The sequence below is a fragment of the Homo sapiens genome, chromosome 11 (assembly GCF_000001405.40).
Source record: "Homo sapiens chromosome 11, GRCh38.p14 Primary Assembly".
In the NCBI taxonomy this organism is placed as follows: domain Eukaryota; kingdom Metazoa; phylum Chordata; class Mammalia; order Primates; family Hominidae; genus Homo; species Homo sapiens.
Window position 1 is genome coordinate 17,412,786 of NC_000011.10, and position 27,289 is coordinate 17,440,074.

The 27,289-nt window shown below is 50.0% G+C and overlaps 1 protein-coding gene and 1 pseudogene across 6 annotated transcripts in view, besides 1 other annotated feature; both read right to left on the minus strand.

The window, feature by feature from the left end:
- Positions 1-27,289, minus strand: part of ABCC8 (ATP binding cassette subfamily C member 8) — an 84,348-nt gene that overhangs the window by 20,288 nt on the left and 36,771 nt on the right. For 3 of the 6 annotated variants that reach the window (NR_147094.2, NM_001351296.2, NM_001287174.3), the window contains exons 11-20: positions 19,419-19,459; positions 18,029-18,174; positions 15,780-15,885; positions 15,504-15,620; positions 15,082-15,157; positions 14,264-14,369; positions 4,145-4,180; positions 2,519-2,554; positions 1,727-1,825; positions 609-693 (exon numbers count right to left, since the gene is read on the minus strand). Coding sequence is in view for 5 of the 6 variants with exons in the window: in NM_001351296.2 (NP_001338225.1) it covers positions 609-693; positions 1,727-1,825; positions 2,519-2,554; positions 4,145-4,180; positions 14,264-14,369; positions 15,082-15,157; positions 15,504-15,620; positions 15,780-15,885; positions 18,029-18,174; positions 19,419-19,459 (848 nt within the window). In the remaining variant the exon portion in view is untranslated. Of the gene's footprint in view, positions 1-608; positions 694-1,726; positions 1,826-2,518; positions 2,555-4,144; positions 4,181-14,263; positions 14,370-15,081; positions 15,158-15,503; positions 15,687-15,779; positions 15,886-18,028; positions 18,175-19,418; positions 19,460-27,289 lie in introns of all 6 variants that reach the window. The other 3 variants (NM_001351297.2, NM_000352.6, NM_001351295.2) reach the window with 2 other exon arrangements.
- Positions 185-2,343: an enhancer, noted in NCBI's record as "VISTA enhancer hs1977". NCBI's record gives its function as "enhancer in: pancreas[10/14]" and the evidence as "EXISTENCE:transgenic organism evidence [ECO:0001131][PMID:17130149]".
- Positions 22,238-23,421, minus strand: SDHCP4 (SDHC pseudogene 4; annotated as a pseudogene).

Below are 27,289 nucleotides of genomic sequence, written 5' to 3' on the forward strand. Positions count from 1 at the left end.
TTCAGGAGACACTGTCCTGTACCCTACTGGACTATGAGCTCTTTGGGATGGAGGCCTGGCTCTATCCACTTCTTTGCCTGCTTCTCACCTTGCATAGAGAAGGAACTTGCACGTGTTTACTGAATTCATTCAGAAGAGGGCAGCATGAGCCCCAAGTCTTTAAAGATTCATTGTGTAGGCGCTAGGGACCATCTGACCAGTACAAACAAAGACAGAGGCAGCAGGGATTAAAATCACACAAAAGGAGGACAGTCACAGGAGAATCCTGTTCGTCTAAGCTTGTGGAGGGGACCCCATCTGGAGGATGAACAGGAACAATACAACCCCAGGCTGAGCACAGTGCTGTGTGGGCTCTCAGTGTATACCTGGGGTGCAAATGAAGAAGATCCCCAGCCTGGGAGGGCACTAAGCTGACCTTGCCCTCCAAGCAGGACTGAAAACCTGTCAAAGGACATCATCAAGAACAACATGTTTGACCTTACTGCAGGCAACTCTTCAGCCTTCAATGTCTCCTATTTCCTAGTTACCCATTGTCCTGAGTAGTGTCTCAGGGCATGGTAGGTTGGGGGTCCTGGCTTTGAAAAAACCCCTCAGAGGCTGCTACTAACCCGTTCCCCAATCTGGGTCTGGTCTCCATGGGGCAGGATGTCGATGTCTGGCTGCAGAGAGCAGGCTTCAATGACCATCTTGTACCTGGCGTGGGTAGAGGCAGGGGATGCAGCTGGTCAGCCTGGTCAGAGTTGGCCCGAGCACTTGCAGAGGGTCATTAGTCTCTGGGTAGCTATGCCCAGGGTGAGCAATGGCTTTAATAGGCCTCCCGCTTGGGTGCAAGCAAACACCGTGTGAGCTTGAAAAGAGCTGAGGTCAGCACTTCACACAGCGTTTGGGCAGGTTAAATACTAGAAGGATGGAATTGGTTGGGAACAAATATGCAGAGTAAGTGATGAAAGGGCGCTCATGATCTCTGTGCAGTGGGAAAAGCTGCAGCCGGAACCCGTGCTTGGGGCACTGCAGGGAAAACCACTGCTGGTTGGTTTAGGCAGTAATGATGATGGCTGGTCAAATATTTGCCCAGCCTGTTCCTCTCATACTTCCCCAGCCAGCCCTTAGCCTGGGCAGGTGCCAGCCAGAGTTCATGGAGGCATCAGAGTATGTTGGTGACAAACATGTACTTAGGTGTTAGGCAGCTTTGGATTTGAGACCCATCTTGGTCACTTACTGGCTGGGTGGCCTTGGGACCTTTCTGAAACTTGGTTCTTCATCTGTAGAGTGGGAATAACAATAATATCTACCTACTGAGGTTGTTGTAAGCATGAGAGGAAATTCCGTGTACAAAGAGCTCGGCACTGTGCCTGGTATGTAGTAAGAGCGCAGTCGATGCTAGCCCTAACTATTATCATTGGAGGGAAAATAGTGCAGGAGCCAGGCGAATGGAGACTCACAGAGAGAGCTAGCTAGCCCTCCCACCAGCTAGAGAAAAGGCAGCGGGGCTCTCTCCCTTCCCTCCATTCCTGCCCTCTCCCCTATGGGAGCTGGATTGCCCCAATGCTCAGGCACACCTGGCCCCTCTCCAGGTGCACCATATGGAGAGGCTGGAGTGCAGGTAAGCACCTGGGGAGTGAGATGGCTGGGTGTGGGTGATCGATGGAGGGGCCCGGAACTGGGGCAGGCTGGCCAGAGACAGTTCCTCCCCTCCACATCCTGCCTCCCTCCGACAGGCTTTTACCGTTGTTTGTTGAAGGGACTCTCAAAGATGATGTTCTCCTCCACAGTGGCATTTAGCAGCCATGGTTTCTGCGAAGCATAGGCCACGGGGCCTCTCTTCCTGGAAAAAGCAGGGCGGGAGTAGGGGGTGCGGAAGGCATTCTCAGGGGCTTGTTCTCAGAGGCAGTTGTCAAGCTGATGGCTCAGATGGAGGCAAGGGGATGGGGAGGTGCAGTTGGTAGAAATCTGCTTAGTGTGGCCTCTGGTGGCCTTGCCTTCCCCCAGGCAGGTTTGAGAGGTCTGGGTCTCAACTGACTGGGGCAGCAGGACCTCATCCCCTCCCTGCCCTACACCCAGCCTGCCCCAGCCCTGCAGTCTGTTGTTCCTTAGTCAGGGAGGAGCCCAAAAGTGTGACCAAACCAAGGGAACACTCAACTTCTGGCTTCCTCCCTCTTTGGGTAGCCCTCAAGCCACTGGACTTTGAAGTCAGCAGGTAATTCTCCAAATGGAAGAACTTTTTTTTTTTTTTTTAAAAGCAGAGCCAAGGAAGCCACATTTTGAGTGATGTGGTTTTTGAAGAAAAAAGAAAAAGAGATCCCAGATAAAAATGATCTTATGTGAAGGGAGTAAATGGATGCACAGAAACAGCAGCAGCTCCCGAGCCACCTGGTGGAGCACAGGGGCCCTCCCTGGCCTCCCCCAACACTGGGGCTGGGGTCTGGGGGCTGCCCAGCAGGGTGATGTGGCTCCCTTGGGCCTGAGAGCACCCTGGAGGGAGTTGACCCTGGGGGGCAATGTTCCCAGGACGCAGTACCTGATATCCAAGTCGGTCGCTGTCTCCCGCTCTGGGCTGCAGCAGGGGAGGAAAGGCATACTGAGCTCTCATGGGAGTGAACCATATCCTCCAGGAAGATCCTGAGCTCCCTCCAACCCAACATGAGCATGCCTTTACAATCCCCTGGACCCAGTCTGTAGCCACAAATGCTGCATAGAGAGGTGTGGAGAGTGGGGTGTGCCCATCTTGGGGAAGCCTCTGCTGCCTGACCACGTGGGTGTGTGAGGAGGGCCCTGGAGGACCCAGTTAAGAGGGAGAATGGGGAGAGGTGCCATTGGTGCAGGCTCTGGGGGGAAAACTTGTCAGATCAGGAGTATGAAGCCCGCAATGTGGCTCCTCCAGACCCAGCCTCTGCATTCAGGTTGGAATGAATAGGCTGAGGTCTGAGGCTGATACAGCTGCACAAACAGCTGGGGCAAGGAGTGCTCTGGACAGAGCCAGGCCAGGCCAGGCAGGCTGACACCAGCACCTGCACTCTGGGGCTGGGAACCCGCAGCCCTGGAGCTGCGAGGGCTCCAGGCATGATCTGCAGCCCCATATGGCCCCATCAGAAGACAACCACGGAATGTGGGGGATCTGCCAGGGATGTCAGGTGCAGTGCCATGTGCCCTGGACTGCCCAAGCTGCTCCCGTGTCAAATATTCTGCCACTCTGTTCTCATCCACATATGCAAACTTGTCACATGCCATGAGGTCTGATTTTTGGCTCAAGAAATATGATCACTACCATTACAGAGGCTGAGCCTGTCATCACATACTGACAGTTGGGGACAAGGAGGGAGAAAGGGCAGAGAAAATATACCAAAGTGAAGCCTCTTTGGTGTTGGAGAGCAAAGGCCAGAGGCTTAAACTTATTTGCAAAGCTGAGCCAACCTTCCCATCCTGACTTCATACCACCTCTAGGGTATCTCAAGTGTTTTTTGGAGAGGTAAGGGGAGGGAAGGTTTTGAGGGACTCAGAGCCTCATTAATCTATATCACTTGGATTTTTTAGATTTGCACATGAACATAAAGCAACAAGACTGAATTTTCTGCCTGGCCTGAGGGACACCCATCTCCTTTCCTTACAGTCATATTTCTTAACTTTCTTTTCCATGATCACCCCTAGAGCCTTTTTAGATATACTTTTTTCTGTCTTTCCTGTCACTTAAAAAAAAATCAGAGGTTTAGAAAACCTCTGAAACTAAAAGTACGTTCACCAGGTTGTGCAACTATCTCCACTATCTAATTCCAAAACATTTTTATCTTCCCCAAAACAAATCCCATACACATTGGCAGTCCCTTCCCTCTCTCTCCCACCAGACCCTGGCAATCGCTAGTCTATTTTCTGACTCCATTCACCATGAAATTTCAGCACCACAGATATACTGGCATCTGTTTGGTACTTTGGACAGCCACAAAGCATTGCAATGTCTAAGTGTTTTCTGTCCCCAAGAACCAAATTTTGCCCTCATTGAGAATGCAGGCCTTAGCCCCATGTCTCTGAAAATATGTAGGCTGCACATCCCTGAATCCATACTCAGCATTACCCACCCACAAGTCCTCCACCCCCACCCTACCCCTTCCCTTTGTTGAGACCCACTTCTGACCCAGTCCCAAGGCTGTACCTGGGGTCCTCTCCTATCTCGCTGTCAGGAAGGCTGCTGGGACACAAATGGGACAGACCAACACCAGTTAGTTCCCACCCCATTGCCTTTCCATCACGCTGAGTCTTAGGGGAGAAGCAATCCCCACCTCCAACCCTCCCACCCATTCCCAGGGTTTCCAAATGGCCTCTGTGGGGTCAGAAAGCACTCTTCTCAATCTCTGTCCCTCCCACAGCACCTGGATGGGTACCCTCCAAATAGCATGTGCTAAATCAGCGTTCCTGGCATTGACTCGGAGCAGCGGTGAGGCTGGCTGGGCATCAGGAGCATTTTATAGTTGGAAAACTAAATCCCAGAGAGGGAAAGTGAGAGGACACAATCATTTCTTATAGTGTTTTCCAAACTGTGGATAGGGACCCAATCATTGGGTCTGGAATAAGTAGGCGGCAAGTGCATTTGAGGAAAAAGAAAAAAAAAGAATAGATGGAATCAGTGTGTACTGCACGTGGTACTGTATTTTTCGTGATTTTTTCTCTTGTTTATAAATGCATAAATATAGTGGACTGTAATGTCAAATGCTTTTCATACTGTGGATTTTGATAACTTAAAAAACACTGAGTGAGGTGACTTGAATTGTGATGCCAATTTTGCCAGTGCTCTATCCCCTCCCCCAGGATACCTCTCAACCTTCCAGAAGCAGCCCCTTGCCAATGAAATATATACTTCTGACATGAACATTTGGGGGAAAAAATCTGCTTTATTTTCATACAGATCTTACTTTAATAATACTAACAACAGCTAAAATTTATTGAACTTTTATAAGCACCATAGTAGTATTTTCTCTCTCTCTCTCTCTCTCAGACAGGGTTTCACTCCTGTTGCCCAGGCTGGAGTACAATGGCGTGATCTTGGCTCACTGCAACCTCCACCTCCTGGGCTCAAGCGATCCTCCTGCCTTAGCCTCCTGAGTAGATGGGATTACAGGCACGTACCACCATGCCTGACTAATTTTTGTATATTTTTTGTAGAGACAGGAGTCTCATTCCCTATGTTGCCCAGGCTGGTCTCCAACTCCTGGGCTCAAGCGATCCTCCAGCTTTGGCCTCCTAAAGTGCTGGGATTACTGGCAGTGAGCCACCGTGCTCAGCCAGTATTGTCTCTTTATAAAGCTCAAAATAACCATATGAAGGAGGTTTATTCTGATCGCCCTCACTTTACAGATAAAGAAAGTGAGGCTCAGAGAAAGGCTAAGTAACTTGCCCAAAGTCACACAGCTAGTAAGTAGCGGAGAAAATAGCTCCGACTCCAACGTTCATACTCTTAAATGCCATGGTACATTACTCCCCTGTGATTTCCCATGCCATAACTCTGATAAATGCCCCTTGTCAGGAGAACCAGGATGGACGAAATCAAGGATGGAAATGAGCCTGATGAAATCCCCCTCCTGCTGAGGGTCAGGACTGAATGAAGATTCTGATGGGTATGTAGTCCCCAGTCCCCTCTTTTCCTGTTCTCTAATCTTCGTGGTCTCATTTCATTCTCTTAACCAAACTTCATATTCCCTAACCATCAGATGGCTGTAATTTACAATTTATAGACAAGCTGGTAACATGAGACATAGAAACCTAAAGCTTACAAATTCCAGCTCTGTGGCCACAGCCCAGATAAGCTTATCTCTGGAGTCTTCCTGATGTGACTACTTCCAGAGTAGCAGAGGTGGTTATTGATGCATCTGTGGCATTCCTGAGGACCCCAGCACACAGTAAGCTCTCCAGGCCCTAACTCAGTTTGCAACATGGTCTGCACTGCTCAATTAGCCCTCATAATGGACTGCCTTCCTCTCTGATCAGCTCCCGTGTAATTTGTTCATCCCCAGTGGAATTTTAAGGCAGGAAGAACATCTTTTTCAGCCCCCATGGTGCTTAGCACATGACAGAGCTATATAATGAATGGAGGCTGGTAACAGATATATTAATCATTTGGAAAGAAGAAAGGGCGGGGCTGGCTCTCATTGCTGACCTTCACTGTGCACTGTGAGAAGTTGTTTGCAAACAACTCATCATCTCATCCTTACAACCCTATAAACCCTATCCCCATTTTACACATGAGGATACTGAGACTCAGAGTTTGCAAATGTGACAGAGCTGGGAAGAGGGGAAGCTGGGGTGTGAATCCAAGTTCTTCTCTTTCCAGTGTAGCCCCAAGCCTCCTCCAGTGAGCCTCCCCAAACTTTGTATCTGTTTTAAGCTGAAAAGTAAAGAATGGTATGTCTGGCAGGCACCATCTCTCACTCATTGCTGTGGTCTTTACAAGAGTGCTGAGGGGATTCGATTCCTCCTCTGCCTGCACTCTAGGGAGGAAGCACACAGCTGAAAGCATGAGTCTTCCAGTTCCCCAACCGCATGTCCTTCCCTCCAGCCCACTAGGAGCTGGCATATGTGTGGCAACCTGAATCAGGGTGCAGAGGCTGCCTTCCAGGGGCTCACACTCTGGTAGGGCAAATCAGAAAGGTACCGAAGTCAGGAAGTTATAAGGGTCAAAAGAAAAGTAGGACAAAGTATCGGAGAACTTTTGGGGAAAAGTAAACACAAATGCATATGCAAATGCATAAAGAAAAACTGGAAGCTTCTGGGTGATGGGATATTAGGTGGTTTTTATCTTCTGTATGCTTGTGTATCTTTTCTAATGTAATGTGCATTCTTTTAGAATCAGAGAAAAAACATAATTTTTACAAGAAATTTGGAGGAGGAAGAAATCTGAGAAAATGAGTAGAGCCTCATAGAAGAAGTCATAGCTGAACTGAACCTTAAAGAGTGGGAAGGATTGAGACGGTGGAGGTGAAGGGAGGGAACTGCAGGTTAAAGGAAGAGGCAGCATATGATAACAGGTGCGAGAAGTAGGAAAAATATGGGCTCTGACATTTGAATCCCAGAGGCTTTTCCACTCATTGGCTGTGAAATCTGAGGCAAGCTCCTTTACTTGGAGGAGCCTCTGTTTCCTGATCTATAAAATGGGGGTGAAGGCACAAACCTCACAGTGACACTGGAGAATGTATTACAGCTCACAGCTGGTTAGGGGGCAGGTTGTAGGCTTGGAGAACTAGGAGGAATTGTCTTTTCAGCTCAGTGCTTGGCCCCAAAAGTACAGGCAGAGGGAGAATCAGATACCCCCAACACTCATTTAAGACCCCGGCAATAAATAAAAAGGGAAGAAGTGGAAACTGAGGTTCAAAGAGTGAGCTAGGATATACAGGGCTCCACAGCCCATTCATCCTGCCCAGACAGGCTTGTCGCTGTCCTGAAAGGTTACCTTTCACCCACAGCATCCTTTCCAATTGATGTCATTGGGTCCCATTGCCAAATCTCTGAGACAGGAAAGGTAGGGTTTTACTCATTGTCCAGACAGTGAGTCTGTCTCAGAGAGGTGAAGTAACCTGCTCAAGGTCACAGAGCTAGCAAGTGGCAGCATCAGGACTACAGCCAGGGGCCATCTGGTTCCCATGGCTGGACAGTCACTTCCTCAGAGCATCCCTTCTCCTGTCTGTCAGCTGTCTCACCACACCTGCCTCCTCCAGGAAACCCAGGGGCACTTGAGCCCCTGACTTCAGCTCCCCAAAGGCTCCAGGAATTGTACAGGCAGATGCGACCAGGGCCGTCCTGAGAGAAGCCTTTTTCTCTCTTCCTGGGGAATCAGGGCTCTTGGCAGGCAGCATCCACACCAACCACCACAGGCAACAGCATTGCAGCAGGGAGCTCCAGTGAGACTGCATGTGCAGCTCCTCACAGGGAAGTGGGAGCCTCTTCCCCACGCTGATCCTTTCCTCAGGGCCCTGGTTCCTGCTGACCCCCCGGGGGCATTTAAAGTCACTCTACTGTGGATATTAATGGCTCTATTCTTTATTTCCAGGGAAAGAATTTCACCCGAGTGTATCTGCTAATCTTGACTTTTTACCAAAACATTTTCCTCTTAAGGATTAAAGAGAGAGTTTGCAAATCCCAAGGTTGTCACAGTTCCTTGAAGCAGAGAGCCAGGGAGGGGCAAGTGATTCTTCCTAAAGTGAATGCTTGGGAACCACACAGTTCTCTCTGAGACCAGGAGCCAGGCTGCTGACGTGAGGGACAAGCTCGGGGCTGCATCTGCAGGACTTCAGCAGATGGACCCTTTGTGCCCACCCTGCAGCTCTGTCTGCACACCTCTGTCCATCCTGGGTGGGTGAGCTCCCCAAGGGCAGGTGCTAGGCCTTTTCCTTTGTAGCCTACACAGAACAGTGCACAAAATACACATCTGCATGGGGCACCTGGGGTACAACATGGAATAATCCCTCAAGGAGCTCAGAGTCATGGAGGAGACAGACGCATTAGCAAATAATTATAATACCATGTGAGGTATGCACTAACGGTATTTGCTCATTCCAAATATTGATGGAGAAGAGGGGTAGTGAAATACTGGGTTAGGAAACAGCTCGGACAAAGGCATGTGGAAAGGAGAGAGATGTCAAGATGCATTATAATGGCAGCCTCTTGAAGGTCTTAAGTTGTTCCTGGTTCATTCATTTAGCAAGTGAATTCGTTTAGCAAAAAGCACTACGGATACAGTGAGACAAACAAAATATGGTCCCTGTCCCCAGGGAGCTCACAAGAATCTTTCCCAGGAGACAGACTGGAGGACATTTAAAGAGGAACAGGTGAATTTTGTTCCTGGCAAAGAAGTACACTATTGAATAATAATATTTATAGGATATTTACTACATGCTAGGTTAATCCTCACATCAATCTCATGGGTAATAAGGGAAACTGGTAGAGAAAGCTTATGAAATTTTCCAAAGCACAGAGACCAAATGTGAACCCAGGCAGCTTGGCTGCAGAGCCTGTGTGTGCAGCCATACTGCTCACGTGGTCACTGGAGGAATAAACGAATAGTTGCACCAACAAAGCACCCATCTCCCCAGAGCATTCTCCATTCTACACCTCCTAATCCCCCAACTTCCTGCCTTGTGCCTCCTGGAACTCCTTCTGGCTGCCTGGTCACCAGGTCTTGGCCTGGGTATGGCTGAAAAGCATCTGAGCAGCAGCCTGGCATCACCCTCTCCTCTGGCTGCAGGCGTGCAGACTTGGGAATGCTTGCCAGGTCAGAGGCTGTTTTGCTTTTAGCTCACTTTGCAAGCACGTCTTCTCCCTGCAGACCTGGGGCTCAATGTCTGAGGTGTGGAGTTCCTGCCAGTAATGGAGGGGGACTCTCAACACACAGCCCCCACACTTAACTCAATGCCCAGGATAGGTGGGCCAGCCAGAGCAGTGCACATGTCTAGATTTTGAGAGACAAACAGCAGATGAAGCTAATTGAGTCGTATCTGCCTAGACTCCTTCTCCTAGCCACTATAAGGAGCTGCAGACTGACCTTCCTTCCTGGAGTCTGTCTGTCTTTTCTTTTTCTCTCTCCCCAGTCCATCATCCTTTGTCATAAGCATGATCCTTCTGCAGCATTTGGGCTAAAACTTACTTCCTAGAGGTAAGCACTGTATCCATAGTGCTTTTGCTAAATGAATTCATTTGCGAAATGAGTGAACCAAAAACAACTTAAGATCTTCAAGAGGCTGCCATTAGAATGCATCTTGACATCTCTCATTTCCCCATGCATTTGCCCAAGCTGTTTCCTAACCCAGTACCTACCTCTCTTCTTGATCAATACTTGGAATGAGTGAATATTAATGCACACCTCACACTGTGTTATGATTATTTGCTAATACCTCCCTTCCTACAGTCTGTCTGTCTTTTTCTCTGTTTCCCCAATCCATCATCCTTTATCACAAGCATGGTTCTTTTGCAACCTTTGGGTTAAATCTTACTTCTCAGACCTACTACATGGGATCTAAGCCAAGTTCACTTCTTCAGTCCCATCTTTCATAATGCACCCCATGCATCCAGTGTTCCAGGTGCACAGAACTATGTTCTTTAATATCAGCAAGGCTTTGCCCACACCATCACCCCTGCCTGGACCACCTCCCTTTCCCATCCCTGCCTTTTCTACTTGATGAAACCACACTCATCCTTCAAGGCTCAAATACCACATCCGCAGTGAGCCTCCTCTCCTTGACTGCAGAGTCAATTGTGGTTCCTCTGAGCTCTTCTAAGGCCCAGGTCTTCTCTCCCCTCTCTTAAAAGCGGGGCCGGCCAGGGGTGGTGGCTCATGCCTGTAATCCCAGCACTTTGGGAGGCTGAGGCGGGCGGATCATGAGGTCAGGAGTTCGAGATTACCCTGGCCAACATAGTGAAACCCCGTCTCTACTAAAAATACAAAAAATTAGCCGGCATGGTGGTGTACACCTGTAGTCCCAGCTACTTGGGAGGCTGAAGCAGGAGAATCGCTTGAACCTAGGAGGCAGAGCTTGTGAGGAGCTGAGATCGCACCACTGCACTCCAGCCTGGGCAACAGGGCGAGACTCCGTCTCAAAAAAAAAAAAAAAAAAAAAAAGCAGGGGCCACGTCTTAGTCACCTTTGCACTCCTGTTGCTGTCACAGGGTCTAGTATACACTAGGCGCTCAACTGGGTGAGTGAATACGTCACTGTGGACGCTGGAGAATGAGTTGACTTGGGAACAAATTCTCATGATTTCCCAGGGTTGGCTGCAAGCTAACAAATGCACTTCACTATGCTTGAAAGGGAAGCTGGACCAGGACCGGGCGAGAGAGCAAAGAGGATCCTGGAGAAATGAGACCCCTTCACTACCGCCCCTCTGCGAGCCTCGAACAGAGCTGGGAGCTGGGGCCTAGGCTACCTGTAAAGGAGAGTAAGTGTTGATAAGGACAGAGCTGTGAGGACCCACGTGGCAGTTCTGGGAGGAGGCAGGTGTGTGTGAGTCATGGCCACAGCGGCTGCTGGCCTTTGGACTGTCAGGCTAGCTATGCCTTCTTCATGAGGCTCTTGTGCCCCTTCTCTTTGAGCACATGGTGGCAAACCAATGCACTTGAGCACCTAGGTGCAAATCCCACTTCTGCCATTTAACAGCTGGGTGGCCTTGGACAACTTGCTTCACCTCAGTTTCCTAATCTGATAAATGAGGATATAATAATATCTACTGCACAGAGTTCGGTGCAGACTGACTGAGATGATGAGGTGCCTGCACAGTGCCTGGCCTATAATAAGTGCTTAGGCAGGAACAGAAAACCAACCACCACATGTGCTCACTATAAGTGGGAGTTGAACAATGAGAACACGTGGACACAGGGAGGGGAACATCACATACCGAGCCTGTCGGGGGGTGGGAGGCAAGAGGAGGGAGAGCATTAGGACAAATACCTAATACATGTGGGGCTTAAAAAGATGACAGGTTGATAGGTGCAGCAAAGCACCATGGCACATGTATAGCTATGTAACAAACCTGCACACTCTGCACATGTATCTCAGAACCTAAAATAAAATAAAAAATAATAAAAAAAAGAAGTGCTTAGGGTCCTCTGCCTTGGAGAGGCTCCTTGTGTTCCCTGGGCTGGGGCAGAGGTTTCCTAAGAGAGAGGGGCAGCAGTCAGACCCGGAGGGTTGGCACAGCTTGGAGAAGAGGTGGGGACTGAGGCAGGGCAGAGCAGACCCCTGCCAATCATGCCTGCTTCATCTACATAGGACAAGGAGAGCTCCTGAGGCAGGCACGATGCCACATGAGGGCATGAGGGTGGGGGAGGAGAAGAAAGCAGGGCAAAGGGACCAGGTTCAGAGTGGGTTTTGACATCCATGCTGAGCAGGTCAAGGCAGGGGCAGCTCCAGTGTCTGAGCCCTGCAATCCTTCTGGAAAAGCCCTGCCTTGGAGGAGAGCCCAGATCCAGCCTGACCACTACATGGGGCTTGGACAATAACCCTTAGGACTAGGCCCTGGGGGCCCCAGCAGTGACCAGGTTTGAGGGAAAGAACATGGGCAGAGTCTCTGCTCCACACACTGACTAGTAAGTCACCCAACTTCTCTGAGCCTGAGTTTCTGCTTCTGTGAAATGGGGTAACAACACTCCCCTCCTAAACTTAGTAGGAGGCTTGATGAGATCATGTTGACAATGCACTTAGCAAAGGGCATGGCCCATAGGAGGTACCCAATAAATATTGGTTACTTTCTTCAGCTCACAGTGCACTGGGGACTCTTGTCTTCTTGCTGCAGGCATGCAGTTGGACAGCAGAAAAGGGCTCCTCCCTCCAAAGGCTGGAGAGGCAGTCGGAATAAGGCAATATGATCTCAAACCGAATACCTGGGCCTTCCCAGTCAGGCTATGTTGAAAAATCTCCCAAATAAAATGGCGAATGGAGGCAAAGACCCCTCTGCCCCCAAAGACATCACAGTCCCTGATGGGAGGTGATGGGAAACCCAAGGGGCTCATCTGCTAGCCCACGACCCCACTGAGGAGGGAAATTTGCCATCTTTTGGATACACCATTCAGGGACATCTTGGAAATGCAGGAAACGGGGGTGCATGTTGATATTCAGACATTGGGCCCAAAGTCTTTCTCCCTGCTCAGTTCTGTACTCATGCTTATGAAAAACCTGACACCTTCAATAATTTTCCCCTAGAAATGATTGGTAGGGAAAGCTTGCCCTTCTGCTGATTGGCTGCAACTTTTATTCCTAAATGAATACTCCAAAGCCCAGAGATCCCTTTTTCCCTTGGCTACCAGAGGGCACAGAGCCAGGTTTTATGTTGATGGCTGTAGTTGTCCTCTGCCCAGGTTGCTGAACATCTTTTTACCCTCTTCATTTCTCAGTTCCTATTTTCTTACCTTTTTAAAGGGTTTTATTTTACATGCATCTTTTTTTATTATACTTCAAGTTCTGGGATATACGTGCAGAACGTGCAGGTTTGTTACATAGGTATACACATGCCATGGTGGTTTGCTGCACCCATCAACCCTTCATCTACATTAAGTATTTCTCCTAATGCTATCCCTCCCCTTGCCCCCCACCCCCAGACAGGCCCCAGTGTGTGATGTTCCCCTCCCTGTGTCCATGTGTTCTCATTGTTCAACTCCCACTTATGAGTGAGAACATGTGGTATTTGCTTTTCTGTTCCTGTGTGAGTTTGCTGAGAATGATAGTTTCCAGCTTCATCCATGTCCCTGCAAAGGACACGAACTCAACCTTTTTTATGTCTGCATAGTATTCCATGGTGTATATGTGCCACATTTTCTTTATCCAGTCTATCATTGATGGGCATTTGGGTTGTTTCCAAGTCTTTGCTATTGTGAATAGTGCTGCAATAAACATACGTCTGCATGTGTCTTTATAGTAGAATGATTTATAATCCTTTGGGTATATACCCAGTAATGGAATTGCTGGGTCAAATGGTATTTCTGGTTCTAGATCCTTGAGGAATCACCGCACTGTCTTCCACAATGGTTGAACTAATTTACACTCCCACCAACAGTGTAAAAGCGTTCCTATTTCTCCACATCCTCTCCAGCATTTGTTGTTTCCTGACTTTTTAACGATCACCATTCTAACGGGTGTGAGATGGTATCTCATTGTGGTTTTGATTTTTACATGAATCTTTCATCAACTAGTTTCAAGTGCTTCTTGGAAGTAGGTGGGTATAAATAACAGATTCGTGATTGACTGAGCCTGGGGTTCTGGCTCTTTAATTAAGACAGTGATCTTTGCCCAGAAACCAACATTTATTGGTTACATCTGGATCTTCAGAACACCCACTTATGGTGTGTAGGTCAGTGCAGCTCAGGACCAAGCTGGAAACCAATGTTGGTGTTGCAATTTCCCACACTGGGAAATTACTGCCGTGCATCTGAGTAACCATGGGATTCAGAGTCTGACAGAACTGAGTTTCAATTCCAGCTCTGCCACTTATTAGCTGTGTGAATTAGGACAAATAGTTTAACCTTCCTCTATAAATGAGAATTGAGAACAGTATGGACCTTGTTAGTTATCATAAAAATTAAATGAAATAATGCATGCAAAGGACTTAGCAAAGAACCTGCGCATAGTAAGAGGTGAATACGTACTAGTGATGATGATGAGAATATCCATTAGCAGCATTTATTGAGTCCTCACTGAACACAGAGTGGGCCCTCCAATAAATGTGTGTGCATCCTCAACTGAGGAGGATGGTTAAAAGGAGATTTCCCCTCCACTGGGCCCTGAGGATACATGTATTACCTGCTCCAGAAGACAGCCCCTGAGACCTTCTGCATCTCCCCCAGTGCGGCTAGAAGGAGCGAGGACTTGCCGCAGCCCACCTGCCCCACGATCATAGTCAGCTGGCCTGCAGGGAGGGAGGGTGGCAGATGTGAGTGGGGCCGGGGGAGTCTGAACAACCATTACCCAGAAAGACAGACAGACAGATGCACCCAACCCTGGGGCCCCTGTTTTCTTTCTTCCTACCTAGAATCCCCAGCAAGTCCTCTCCCTCTTTAATCCTTTCCTTCTGGAAATCAACATCCTCCTCTGGCTCCCCAGGTCCTTCCCCCTCTCTGATTTCCTGCCCCGCCACCCTTCCTAAGCACTCGCTTCTCCTTTCCCATGCTCCTAGTATGAGCCCAGGCTCCTTGTGGTCCCAAGAAACACCATCCTGGGTCCCACCTCCAACCCACCTCCATACTTTGCTCATGGCTGCCTCTGCCAGAAAATCCTCCTGCCTCATGGCCTCAGGGCCTTTGTCCATTCTCAGAAACCCCATCACTTCCACTTGCGTTCCTTGGCTACCCACTTCTGATCTTTTTGTGCATTACCTATACTGTCTGCAATGGATGGTTTGACATTAAGGCTGGCAATTTTACCCTGTCCTTAGTGCTTCACTCCCACCCAGCACACGGAAGCCTCTAGAATGTAGCCTTCCCCTTCTATAATATACCCAGGGCATACACCAAGAATGAGCAGAGAGTAGGTGCTCAATAAATGCAGCTTTGTCTTTTTATCTCTATGTTATTCAGTGGGACATGGGGAGGGGCATGCTGGAGGGGTGGACTGGGCCATACCTCGGGGGATACGAATGGTGATGTTGGACAGTGTGGGGATTCCATCTGGGGTCCACGTGAAGTAGCCTCCCATGATCTTCATTAGGCGTGTCCCACCGCCCAGGAGAGAACAGAAAGGCAGCCAGTTCCCAGTGAATAGTCTCTGGCTTCCCCTCCTCCATGAAAGCCAAAAGACACTGATTCCAGCCCCTGGATCACTTCCAGAGCAGGGGAGTGGGAGACTGGCCTTCTCATGCTGACCCTTGCCTAAGGCTGGGGGTCCCCCCACTTGGTGGTCCCTGGTTTCTGGACTCCTATGGACCGTACAGGCAGGCAGGGTGACCTCTGCAGAGGACTAAGCATGCAGCTTTCTGGCTTTCCAGGTGCTGAGCTCCCTCTGGGAGTTGGTGCTGGGTGGCCAGGCATGGGGCAGCAGGACTCACCTGGACACAGCAGTTGTCAGCATCGCCATCTGCACTGGGGACCAGGCTCTGCAGTGGGCCGGTGAGGCCCCGACAATCCTCCCGGGCTGGACGCTTGCGGTTCACAACCCTGAGGGGCTGGGGGTGGTTTGGAGGTGAGGACCCACTGGGCTGGGAGCTGTGTAGGGAAGGGAGCCCCTCTTCCTGGGAAAAAAGGCAGAAGTCCGACACAGCAGGCCCAAGTTTTGGGCCTTAGAGGACCATGCTGGGAGTAGCAAGGGGAGGCCGGGCACTCACCACCGCCTGGTACTTGCTGGCTGGGCCCTGAGGTGTGGGCTCATGGGGGGCACACTGCTCCTCACGGATCTCTGCACTGGACAGGAACTCGCTTAGCTTTTGCACGCTGCTCGGGAAGCACAGAGACACCCCTCACCCCTGCCAGGGGCAGAGGGGAGGGGAGAGGGCGCAGCCTGATAGAGAGCTCTGAGCAGGATCTCAGGCCTGAAGTATAGTCCCACAAAGCCCACACTGAAGGGGGCAGACCAGTGGGCATGGGGGCAGGTAATTGGTGTTACCAGGGTTTGCTAGGGTTGACCAGTCAGCTGGAATAGGCTGGGGTCTGGATTGGAGGTGAGATTGGTTAGTTTTAGGGTTAATGTTGAAGTTAGTTAGTCTGGGTTATTAGACTGAAGGATGGTTGGTGTTGGATTGGTCAGGGTTAAGGTTAGTTAGGACTAGGATTGGTAAAGAATCAATAGCTAGTATTTTGTGAGCATACACTAAATGCCAGACACTGTGTTAACTGTTTTGTAGCATTATGTAATCGGATCCCCATAACAGCCTGCTGGAGGAGGTGTCATTACTCACGGGGGAGGCGGCTATTCCTACCCTCTCCCCTGTCCAGATTTCCCTGTGGACCTGAGGAAGCACTGGAAGCTTCACTCTTCTAGTTCATTCTCTCCCATCCTGGAGGTGTGAAAGCTTTCTGGGAAGCTCAGGATTGTTTGTATTCCCCTTTCTTCTCTTTTGCTAAATGTCCAACAGGCCTGGGGCAGACAAGCCATCCCACCCTCAAGGCAAGGTTATTCTGGGGTGTAAGTGAGCTGTGGCCTGGAGTCTCCCTTTCTGTGCGCCACCCCTAGATGGGAGGGGCAGACCACCAGGCTCTGCCTTCATGCCCTGTCCAGCCTCCCTCCCCCACAGGCGGTGACTGGGAAGAGTGGAGCTGGCCCTCATCTCTTGGGGTGAAGCTTCAGGTAGTGTCCTGCGCCCACCTTCAGCCAGAGCCTGAGCTGCCTCACTGAAAAGGCCTCTGCTACTCTGGTGTTCCATTCCTGGAAACAGTGGGATCCAGAGTGTTTGAAAATATGAACGCTTTGGGATCAGTGCAACAGTTTTCAGGCAGGTGCAGCGTTCTTAAATCTGTGGTTTCTACACAGAATCATAGGGCTGGAGAGTGGGTGGTGGGAGGAGGGGTGATCTTCAGACCCCACAACACCCTGGTCAAGAAACTGAGTCAGCACAGCCGACTGTGGAAATGGGAGCTAATCCCTGTTTAACCAGCTACTGCCTGGTCAGATACTCCTTAGAGCATAATTTTGCTGAGTTATGCCCCATTCCATCTTTGAACCCATGCTAGAGTCTCCCCCTGCAAGCTACCCTCTCTATCAGCTACTTCATTCCAACAGCTACTCCTTCCTTCCAGCTTCCCAGTACCTGCCAGGGTCCCATGAGACAGGGGTGTCACCTTCCTCAAGGCTGAAGACACAGAGGACATTTGTTACTGACTGGTTCTCTGGCCATGGGTAAGGACAAGCCAGCCCTCCATAGAGGCATGACAGGCTCTTGCTTTCAAGGAGGCAGAGCTACTTCAGAGGCCCAAGGACATCTTCTCACTCCAGACAGGGCATTTCCCAGCCAAAGCCTCAGCCTTCTACCTTCAGGCTTTCATTCCCAAGAGGGCAATGCCTCTGGGACAGTGGCAGAGTCCCCATGAGGCTCTAGAGCCTGGAAGTGGGAGCCTCCAAGAGCTGTGGGCCAATCAGAGCAGGACCCAGCGCTTGGGGGAAGCTGTTTCACTGGCTGAGGCTGTGAGGGCTCAGGGGCTGTGGAAAGGGTAGGGGATACTTGGCCTGGGAAAGATAGACACAGTGGATGCCTTCTGATATCCATGGGGCAGCCACGTGGGGACGGGATGGCCTCATTCTTGGTGGCTCTGGAGGGTGAAGTTAGGACCAGTGGGTAGAATTTAGGAGGATTCCACATTTGGCTCAACACTGGTTTTTTTTTTTTTTTAAGTTGTCGTGAAAGTGACAGTGAGTCCCCTCTCCTGGGAGGTATGTAAGCAAGTCCTTGCTCAGGGATGGCGAGCTGGGAAACCATACAGGCCAATGTCCCTCTGACCAACCAGGACCAGCTACAGCAAGGCCCAGCAATGGGGGTGTGTTCCGGGACCAAACAGCTGTGGTTTGGCCATCACTCGAGCAAGCCTTGAGGCTGACACAGGACCTGCCTGCCCAGTGCCCTCGCCCGGACCCTCCCCTCACCTCACTAGAGCTTTGACGGTAGATCGGACCACACTGGACAGCAGGAACAGCGGTGTGACCAAGATATGGAAGAGGGAGAGGGAGGCAAAGGCCACGGAGGGCGAGAAGTCGGCCTCTTTGAAGAAGCTGACGTGGCCCACGAAAGTCTGTGGACAGAGGCACAAGTGAGGCCAGGGTGGCCCAGGGTGTGGGTCCCTCCCACACTGGAAACGCTCAGCACTGGAAGGGAAATGAGAGGGCTGTCAGGGAGCAGGCTCCTAAGAGGATCTTTTAGTTGGAGACACCTTCATCATCCCCACAGTCATCTCATGGAAACGTCCCCAACAAGTTCAGGACTTCAAGCTGGAGAGCAGGGGCTGCTCCCTCCCTGTCCTGGCCAAGACTCCCTGTCCTGCCCAGTCTTGGCTGGGAATAAGCAGGGAGGAGATCTCGGGTTAGGTCAGCACGGCCCCCTCTGCAGACAGCAGGCGGGGTGCTCATCTCCCCAGTCCTCATCGGGATAACGTAAACAGAGTGATTACGAAACTGCACAGTGCTTTGCCCCAGCCACCTGGCTGGCTCAGTGGCCTCTGTTACCCACAGTTCCCCCAGGAGCCAGGCCAGGAACCAGCTCAATACATCACATTGGAAGTGAATTCCCAAGTGTATCCGACAGGCTGTGAACTCTACACAGCTCAGGGACACTGGCCCCGGGGGAAATAAGCAGATCTTTTTAAGGAACTGCAGCCATCACAGAAGATGGGGATGGGAGGCTGGGTGAGGGGGCTGCAGGCTCGTAGGGGCCCAGGCCTTTCTGTAGGAGCATGCTGCTTGACCCCCATGGCTCAGCTCACACACAGCTTTTATCAAAATTGCTTTAGAAAGCCACCATCATAATATTCAGTGGCATGGAGAATTGTGTGTGGCATATTCCTAAATTTAAAAGAGCAGGTTGCAAAACTGCATGCATAGCACATTCCTATTTTTGTAGAAAATGACATATCATAGGCCTTAAAAAAAGACTGGAAAGAAACACATTAAAAATGTTACCAGTGGGATTATGGGTGATTTTAATTCTCTTTGAGCTTTCTGTTCTGGATTTCCCATCACTTCTACAATACACATGTTTCACTTTAAAAATTAAAAATTTGGATAGCTATTTTTTAAAAGAAAGTTTAATTTCTCTAAATACTAAGCCTCCGGTCTTCCAGGCCTGGAGGCAGAGGCCCCTGTTCGGCTGGAGTTGGGGAGGGGCCACACCCTCTATAAACTTTCGATCCTATTTTCAGTCTGGCTGTGGAGCCTGTCTTCTGAGGCCCCTGTGCAGAAAGGCCAAATCTGGGCAGCCTGTCACTGCAGACGCCCTCCCCCTCCACCCTACCCCCAAGAGATGGAGAAAGGATCCACTTACTATGAGGACAGCTGCAATGGGGATGGCCGTGTTCATGAAAACTGCAGAGGAAGCACAGGGAGGCGTTTAGTGGGAGGAGCGTGACAGCTACACATGGAGATGCCCAGGATGGCTTGGAGGCAGCGCAGTCCAGTGGGGCCAGCCTGTGGGGCACAGCTCCAGTAGGCTAGGGGCAGAACTCTAGCCCTGTGGCACTTCCAGTTCCTCACCCCATTTCCCTCAGGACTCTTGTCCCAGGTACCCCGGCCCCCGACTCTGGGGCTTAAACTGTTAAGTCACTCCGTGTGGACAGGGTGAAGTTAGCCCCACGGGAAAGTGGTGGGAGAAGGATGGGAGAGTTGGCTGGCTGTGGCCAACTGTGAGGTCAGGAGCACGTGTTTCTGGGGGCACAAAGCTGCCACTTCTTCCTCTGCCTTTGGCTCCTGTGTCCCCCCAAGCCAGGCTCTCTATGAAGCTTAGAGACTTCCTAGTCTCCCATGGCTCTTGAGAAAATTTCAAACTCATTCTCACTGAGGTATTAGTAACTAAGGACAGCTTAAAGCAGGATGTCCCTTAGAGTCTGTGTGCGGGTGGGGTAGCTGGTTTGCTGCAACAGAGGCCTCCTCCTTATTCTGTTAAACATGTGGCCTTTAGATCAGTCACAGGGACTCCAGGAAGAAAAGACAGTGGGACTTGGTGTGACAGAAGGGCAGAATCCCTGCTACTTATAAGCTGTGTAACCTAGGGCATGTCATTTACCTTCCCCGTGCCTCAGTTTCCTCATATGATTTTTGTAAACTTATAAATACTTGTTCATACACCCCAGCTCTTTCCAAGGTCAGAGGAGATAACATGGGTAACAGGCTCTGTGAGCCCCAGGTGCTGCCTACACATCATACCTCATGGGCTACTAGCTTAGCCCTGCTCCACAGGTCACCCCTCCTCTGGCCTAGGGTGTAAAATGCTCAACAGTGCCCTGACCCCAGGCCTAAATTTCCAGAGAGAGCAGCCCCCCCATGGCATAAGAGGTAACCATGTCAGCTGCCACCTTCCCATCTATCCTCTTTCATTCAAGGATCCCCTTCCAGGGCAGCCCAGAAAGGAGTCTGGTTCTGCCATTAGCCAAATTAAAGCAGAGGGACCAGGAGTCAGGAGCCAGAAGCCAGAGGCCAGGGCTCTGCCTGTGCACATGGCCCCTGTCTAATGAATGGCAAAGTCTTGGACACTCTGATGAAGTCCAGATGGTCAATACCAGTCCAAGAAGTTGACTGCCCATTTACTCCAAGAATCCTGCAGCAGTCAGTACATACAAAGCATTGTACATCAGAGATGTGGTCCCCAACTTCAGGGAATCCCAAGTGGGTGGAAGGACATGGCCTCTGCCCTTAGGGGATTCCCAGTCTGAGGACGGAGACAGGAGCTATGCTCCCAGGAAGTTCCAGATACAATGGGGAGACAGAGTACATGCCCCTTAGGAGTTCTCAAGCAGGTGGGAAGGACATTGTCCCCATCCTCGGGGAATTCCTAATCTGATGGGGAAGGCAAGGCTCCTGCAATTGGAGAGGTCCCAGTCTCCTGGAGGATGTATGGCTGGAGCCCTCGTATGGCTGGGGCCCTGGCAGATGGCGAATTTCTCTGCCCGTGAGGCTTTTAATCAATACCAACATCATACATGCCTGTGCTTTAACTGCCCTTCCTCATGAAGGCTAGATGGTTTCCAGGGCCCACTACCATGCCACAGCCCTCCTGCACCGTTTCCGGCAGGAAACAGCGTAAGTATTATTGGTGTTCCCACAGCAAAAGGGACCCAGATCTAGGACATACGACATAGTGCAGCCATTACTGGCTGAGGAGGAGAGGGAGGAGGATGCCCATCAGACCTAGGACCTTGACCATCACCAACTACATAGTTCTAAATGTGAGGTAGCCTCGCCCCTCCCCTATGGGGTCAGTCACTCCAAGGAGCAACTGGGAGGGCAGGGGCCTCTATTCTGCTCCTCCTGGCCCATCCCCATAAATAACCAATAAGGAGGGGTCCTGTGCACCCATCCCTCAGCCCCTGCTCCAGGCCAAGACCCCTCCTTCACATTCTGGGGCTTGACTCCCAGCCAAAAAATAGGCTGAGTGTTGGATTATAAATTGCTACAACGCTCTTGGAAAGCAATCTGGTGCTTTGTAGCTAGAGCCACACAGAAGTTCAGACCTTCTGATCCTATAATCCGTCTCCAGGAAATTTATCCTGAGTAATCATTCAAGAGCAGCGCAAAGCCATCAGCAAGATGGTATTAGCTGCAGCTAACACAAAATTCAATAAAACAAAACCACAACCACAGCAACAGCAACAAACCATCCCAAACGAAATAAACTGGAAATGTCCAACAAGAGGGGCTGTTGTAGTAAATGATGGTGCATCAGCCGTGGGGGAGATTTTGCAGTCAGAAAACGTGATAATTGACACTTCATTCTACTGCACATTTTCCCTGGTCATGGTTTTTTTAATTTAATTTTTTTCAATTTTATTGTCTTTATTTTTGTAGCTCCCTGAACTCCTTTGAGGAATGAGACAAGCTATAAATAAATTTAAAAATGAACATCCCAAAGCTGATGCAGCAACATGGAGTATGCTTCTGATATAATTAGCTTCTGCCCAGTTCTGGCTGTTGTATGGAGACGCTAAAGAATGAAAATGTGATTTTCCACTTCTTTCACCCTCCCCTTGAAGGACAGCCTTTGTGCAGGGAGTTCTGGGTCCCCTTCAGGGCTGGGGCTGGGAGAGTAGAATCATCAGCTGCGTGTGTTCGCGTGTGTGTGTGTGTGTGTGTGTGTGTGTGTGTGTTTTGCAAGAAAAAGAAATAACCTTTAATATGTTCAATGATAATTTTCTGGATCTTCCTGTTGTGTCAAAAGCTATACATTTTCTCCTCAAAGCAGCTGCTCCAAGAACTAACTAGCCCTCTTTATCTCCCTCTAGCTGGGATAGACTAATTCCCCTCCACCCCCGCCTCTCTTCTTTCAATAACACTGCGTAGGTGTTAATGGCCTGGGCTCTCACCAATGAACAGAATTGTCCTTTAAGCCAGCAACCCACAGGCAGTGGCACCCAAAGCCTCACCCCCAGCCCCCAGGGCAGAAGCCACACAGCTGGCATTGTTTCCACTGTCTCAGGAAGAAGGAGCCAAAAGCTGACCCTCAGCACAAATCAAAGGCCAATATGGAGACAGAATAACCACTTCTAGGCCCAGAGAGGCAAGCTGTAGGCAAAAAAGGGGAGTTTTTTCAGCCACCCCATCTTTAGAAACAAGGAGAAAACTAGACCCTTTTCCACTCTTATGGTCTACAAGGTACTCTACTGCTCCAAGGGGATCTAAAAGCACAAAAGGATTTAAACAAATAAGGAGAACTTTTCCCAGGCTGGAGATAAAAGTGAGAAACAGAAAGATGGGTGAATGTAATAATGTGTAGGAAGATGATGCTGGGAACCTCTGTTCTTCACATGGCTGCCAGCCCTACAGAGGACAGTACAGTAAGAACCGGGACAACCACTCCAGATTGGTATAGCTGGGGAATCTTCAGGCCTTTTCCTAGGTCCCACATCAAGTGTCAGACCCCATTCCAGATATGATACATGAGAGGGAAGATGAGTGCAAACTTAGCTGTGTGGATCAGTGCTGGCCCCGGACACAGGGACTTCACGCATTCCAAATAAGACTCAAAGTTCCCAGGGAGTAACAGGGCCAACATGCCAAAAAGAGAGACCCCTGCACTCAAAGCAATACCAGTGCCACGGTGGCAGATGGACATCGCCATGGGAAGAGACCAACTGTAGATAGTGATGTGGGGAGATATGGGACAGTTTGAACTTGTGTTCTTATTCCAGAACTGCTCCATCTCTTCTTTGGCTGTGATTCCCAAAGGAACAGCATTTCTGGTACAGAGCTGAGGGCTAAAGTGGGCTCGGAGGCAATGACAACCAACATGTCTCAGCAAGAGCACAGCCATCTTGGGTTCTGGTCTGGATGGAAGTGACCAGCTACTTGTGTTTTAAAGGTCTCTCTGAAGATCATCTTTTGGGGCTCTGGGGTGGATGTGGCTGGACCTGGGAAGTCTGGGGTTGTTACAGGCTCTGGCACCTCTCTGGGCACAATAGTCAGTCCTGTGCCCTAGCTGGGGGTAAGACAGGAAGGCAGGGAGCTGGGCATACAGCTGTCATGGGTTGAAGATCTGAGGCCTCGCCCTCATTTTCCTGAACCACATAAAGTTCTATAAGGTTCCAAGGTGGTGGAGGGGTGGGGAATATAGCCAAGAATAGATTTCTGTCCAACTCAGGCCCAAGGTGAGGTGACTCACCTTAATTTGATTTAGAAAAAAACAAAAACAAAAAGAAGAACATTATAGTGCTCAGATCTTGAAAGTTAAGGAGGAAGAACTATGTTAAATAATGGCAAGTGGATTATAAAACCTTCTTCTTGTGTAAGTGTGATGCTGTTATGGAAAAGTTTAGTTGCGTGTAGGCTGGCCTGAAAGGCTGCCATCAAAACTGAAAGCCCTTCTGCAATAGTGTAGAGACATGGGTATTTTTTAGAATATCCTTTCCAAAAATATCCCTTAAGACTTATCCATTCAAGGCTGGGCACAGTGGCTCACGCCTGTAATCCCAGCACTCTGGGAGGCCAAGGTGGGTGGATCACCTGAGGTCAGGAGTTTGAGACCAGCCTGGCCAACATGGTGAAACCCCATCTCTACTAAAAATACCAAAATATTAGCCAGGCGTGGTGGCGCATACCTGTAATCCTAGCTACTCGAGAGGCTGAGGCAGGAGAATCGCTTGAACCCAGGAGGCGGAGGTTGCAGTGAGCCGAGATCGCGCCACTGCACTCCAGCCTGGGCAACAAGAGTGAAACTCTGTCTCAAAAAAAAAAAAAAAAAAAAAAAAAAAGACTTATTCATTCAAAAAAGGTATCCCTGTTCCAGGCCTTGTGCTGGTGTGCTGGGTTCTGGGGACTACGGTAGTAAATGATAGTGTAAGTTTTTCATACCCTCAACCCTTGCCCCATACAAAACGAAACAAACAAAACAACAAATCAACAAACCTGAGCTGGGATCAGATCACCCACTCCCCCTGGCTTTGCCCAAGGAATGTTTTCTGGCCCTTATGGGCACCAGCCTGGCATTGCAATACCAGGAGCTTTTCATTTCCAAAGCATTGATACATGTTCCAGAAGTTACGTGTCAGAGAGGCATAGCCAGCCATTTGTACCTCTGATTAACTTCAGCTTTGTTGCCTGTGCAGGGCCAGGGGAGGAGCATGCAGGCTCACAGTTTGGGCCTAATTGCAAGATGCATCTGCAGGAGGGGAAGTGCATTTTGAGGTGCACGGGGCTGTTTCCCATTCAGTCCAATAGTCAGTGCAGTCAACAGAGGGGGAAGGAAATCAGGTTAATGGTGTCAGTTGCTGGCAGCTGAGGAAGTGTGGCAGGAGGCATCTCAGTCAGACTGATCTTTACCTCCTTAATTGATGGGTGCCCCGGCTCTCCCTCAGCCATGCTCCCCACCAAGCCAGGCCAGGATATGCATAAGCAGCCCACTGTGGCTGCACCAACTGGCAGAAGGGCAGGTAGATATTGAAGAATTTCAGGCCAGGCACAGTGGCTCATGCTTGTAATCCCAGCATTTTGGGAGGCCAAGGCAGGTGGATCACCTGAGGTCAGGAGTTTGAGACCAGGCTGGCCAACATGGCGAAACCCTGTCTCTACTAAAAATACAAAAAATATTACTGGGCATGGTAGAGAGCACCTGTAATCCCAGCTACTTGGGAGGCTGAGGCAGGGAGAATTACTTGAACCTGGGAGGCAGAGGTTGCAGTGAGTTGAGATCGCGCCACTGCACTCCAGCCTGACAACAGAGTGAGACTCCATCTCAAAACAACAACAACCAAAAGAATTTCAAAGATGCTGGGGAAGGAAGGGGCACCAGGTCTCCAGGTCATGTTGTTTTTCTCCACTGCCTGTTCTGAGTTAGCGCCTCCACTGAGGAGGACAGAGGCTTCTCCCACTGCATCCCCAGGCCTGGCACACAGAAGGTGGGCAGGAAATATTTGTTTAAAAAAAATGAATGGAAGAAACGAAAGACCCAGAGTCAGGTGAGTAACACAAAAGAGAAACAGGGGCATTTGGAATTGACCCTGTGGCTCTGACCACATGGTCACTATTCATGGGCATGATCAATCTCCCACAAGACTGGGAGGGCCAGGGCCATGCCTGCTTCCTCTTTAACATCCAGAACCTCCGTAGAGCCTGGCACAGAGGAAGCGCTCTGGAATGGGTATCTCACAATGGACAGAATGAACTGGCAGCATATCGAGTGCTTGCCTGATAGGACCTAGGACCCCTTTGTCACCTCTACAAAGCTTGTCCTCAGATACAGAGGAACCACCTAGAGTTATGCTGCTTCCACAAGGAAAAAAAGATTGAACTGACTTCTAAAGGAAGAGACCACAGTCCTTGTCTCCAGCTTCCTCCCACTTTGTCTTCTCCTCATTGAAATCCCACCATCTTGCAAGGTACAGCCCACATTGCCCCTACATGAATCTCTGGGTGAACTCCCAGCCCACATGGACTTCCTTCTCTGTGCTTCGCCTTTTGCTGTGGAAGACCTCACTGAGACATTTCAATTCACTGAGAGTCAGTCCTCTCTGCTGTAAAATGGGACAACAGAGCAACACACCTCACCAAGTTGTTATGAGGATGAAGTGCAATCACGCTTGCTAGGCGGCAAGCATGGAGCTGGCCACACGGTTCTGCTCTCGCTGCCACACTGTTCTGTGCATGTTAGCTCTGACTTCTTAGTGGAGCATAAACTCCTGGAGAACGGGGAGAACATCTTATCATTTTTCCCTTCCCTCCTTCCTGGTGCTTGGCACAGAGTGGGGCACATGAATAGGGCTCACTCAACATCCACTGAGCAACTTATATTTCTATTTTTACTCAACAGGAAATATCAATTCTGGATGTGACTTTTGATGCCAGAGAAACTGTGCCCATTCATTCCCTTTTCAGCCCCCTGTTTTATCCTGTACCAGTTCGGGACTCCATACACAGCTACTCTCAGTGATATTGATGGCGAGACCATCAGACAGAGTCACAGGTAATCTTGCCTGCCCAGAAGTCTGATGGTGCCGCATATGAGCAGGATGGGCCCCAACAGGAAATGTGACTCTGGGGCTCCTCTGCAGCGTCAGGACTCCAAGACTGGCGCCAGGGGTCAGAACAAGAGATGCCCCATTACCTCACGCCTAATGACCTGTGTCTTGATCCCTGGTAACAGAAGGCAGGAAGTCCAGAGGAGGTAAATGAACACGCACTCAAAGCATATGCCTGCAGCCAGGAGGTACCCTGCACCCTACCACCCGTCTCTCTCCCCCTCCCACTGCTGACTAACGGAGGGAAAAAAAAACACATCCTCGGAAAGGCAAACACACTGAGCAAACAGCACTTGACTTTCAAAGCTCTCCCCAGGGGCTCTCCCCTTTCCCCTCCTCCGCTGCTCTCTTCCAGGGACCAACCTGGGCTGCTCTGTTTCTCTCCCTAGGTGACTTGGACACGTGAGGAGTCCTGGGCGGGCTCCTGCTTGGCTCCAGAGCCCCTTTTTTCCAGAGTCTTCTCAGCTCTTCACAACATATCCCTAGGTCCTCCTGGCCCCAGGCCCATCACAAAGCCACGGCTTGTCTTCTGGGGGCTCTGGGGGACAATGAGCACCCACTAGGTAGGGTTCAGTGGGCTAGCCTGGGAACTCACACATCTTTTGATGCTGTTTATATAAGAAAACATGTCCCAGGCTGCAGTTTGGAATCCAGGAGATGAGTACATATCTCTTAGGAGCAGTCAAAGCAGATG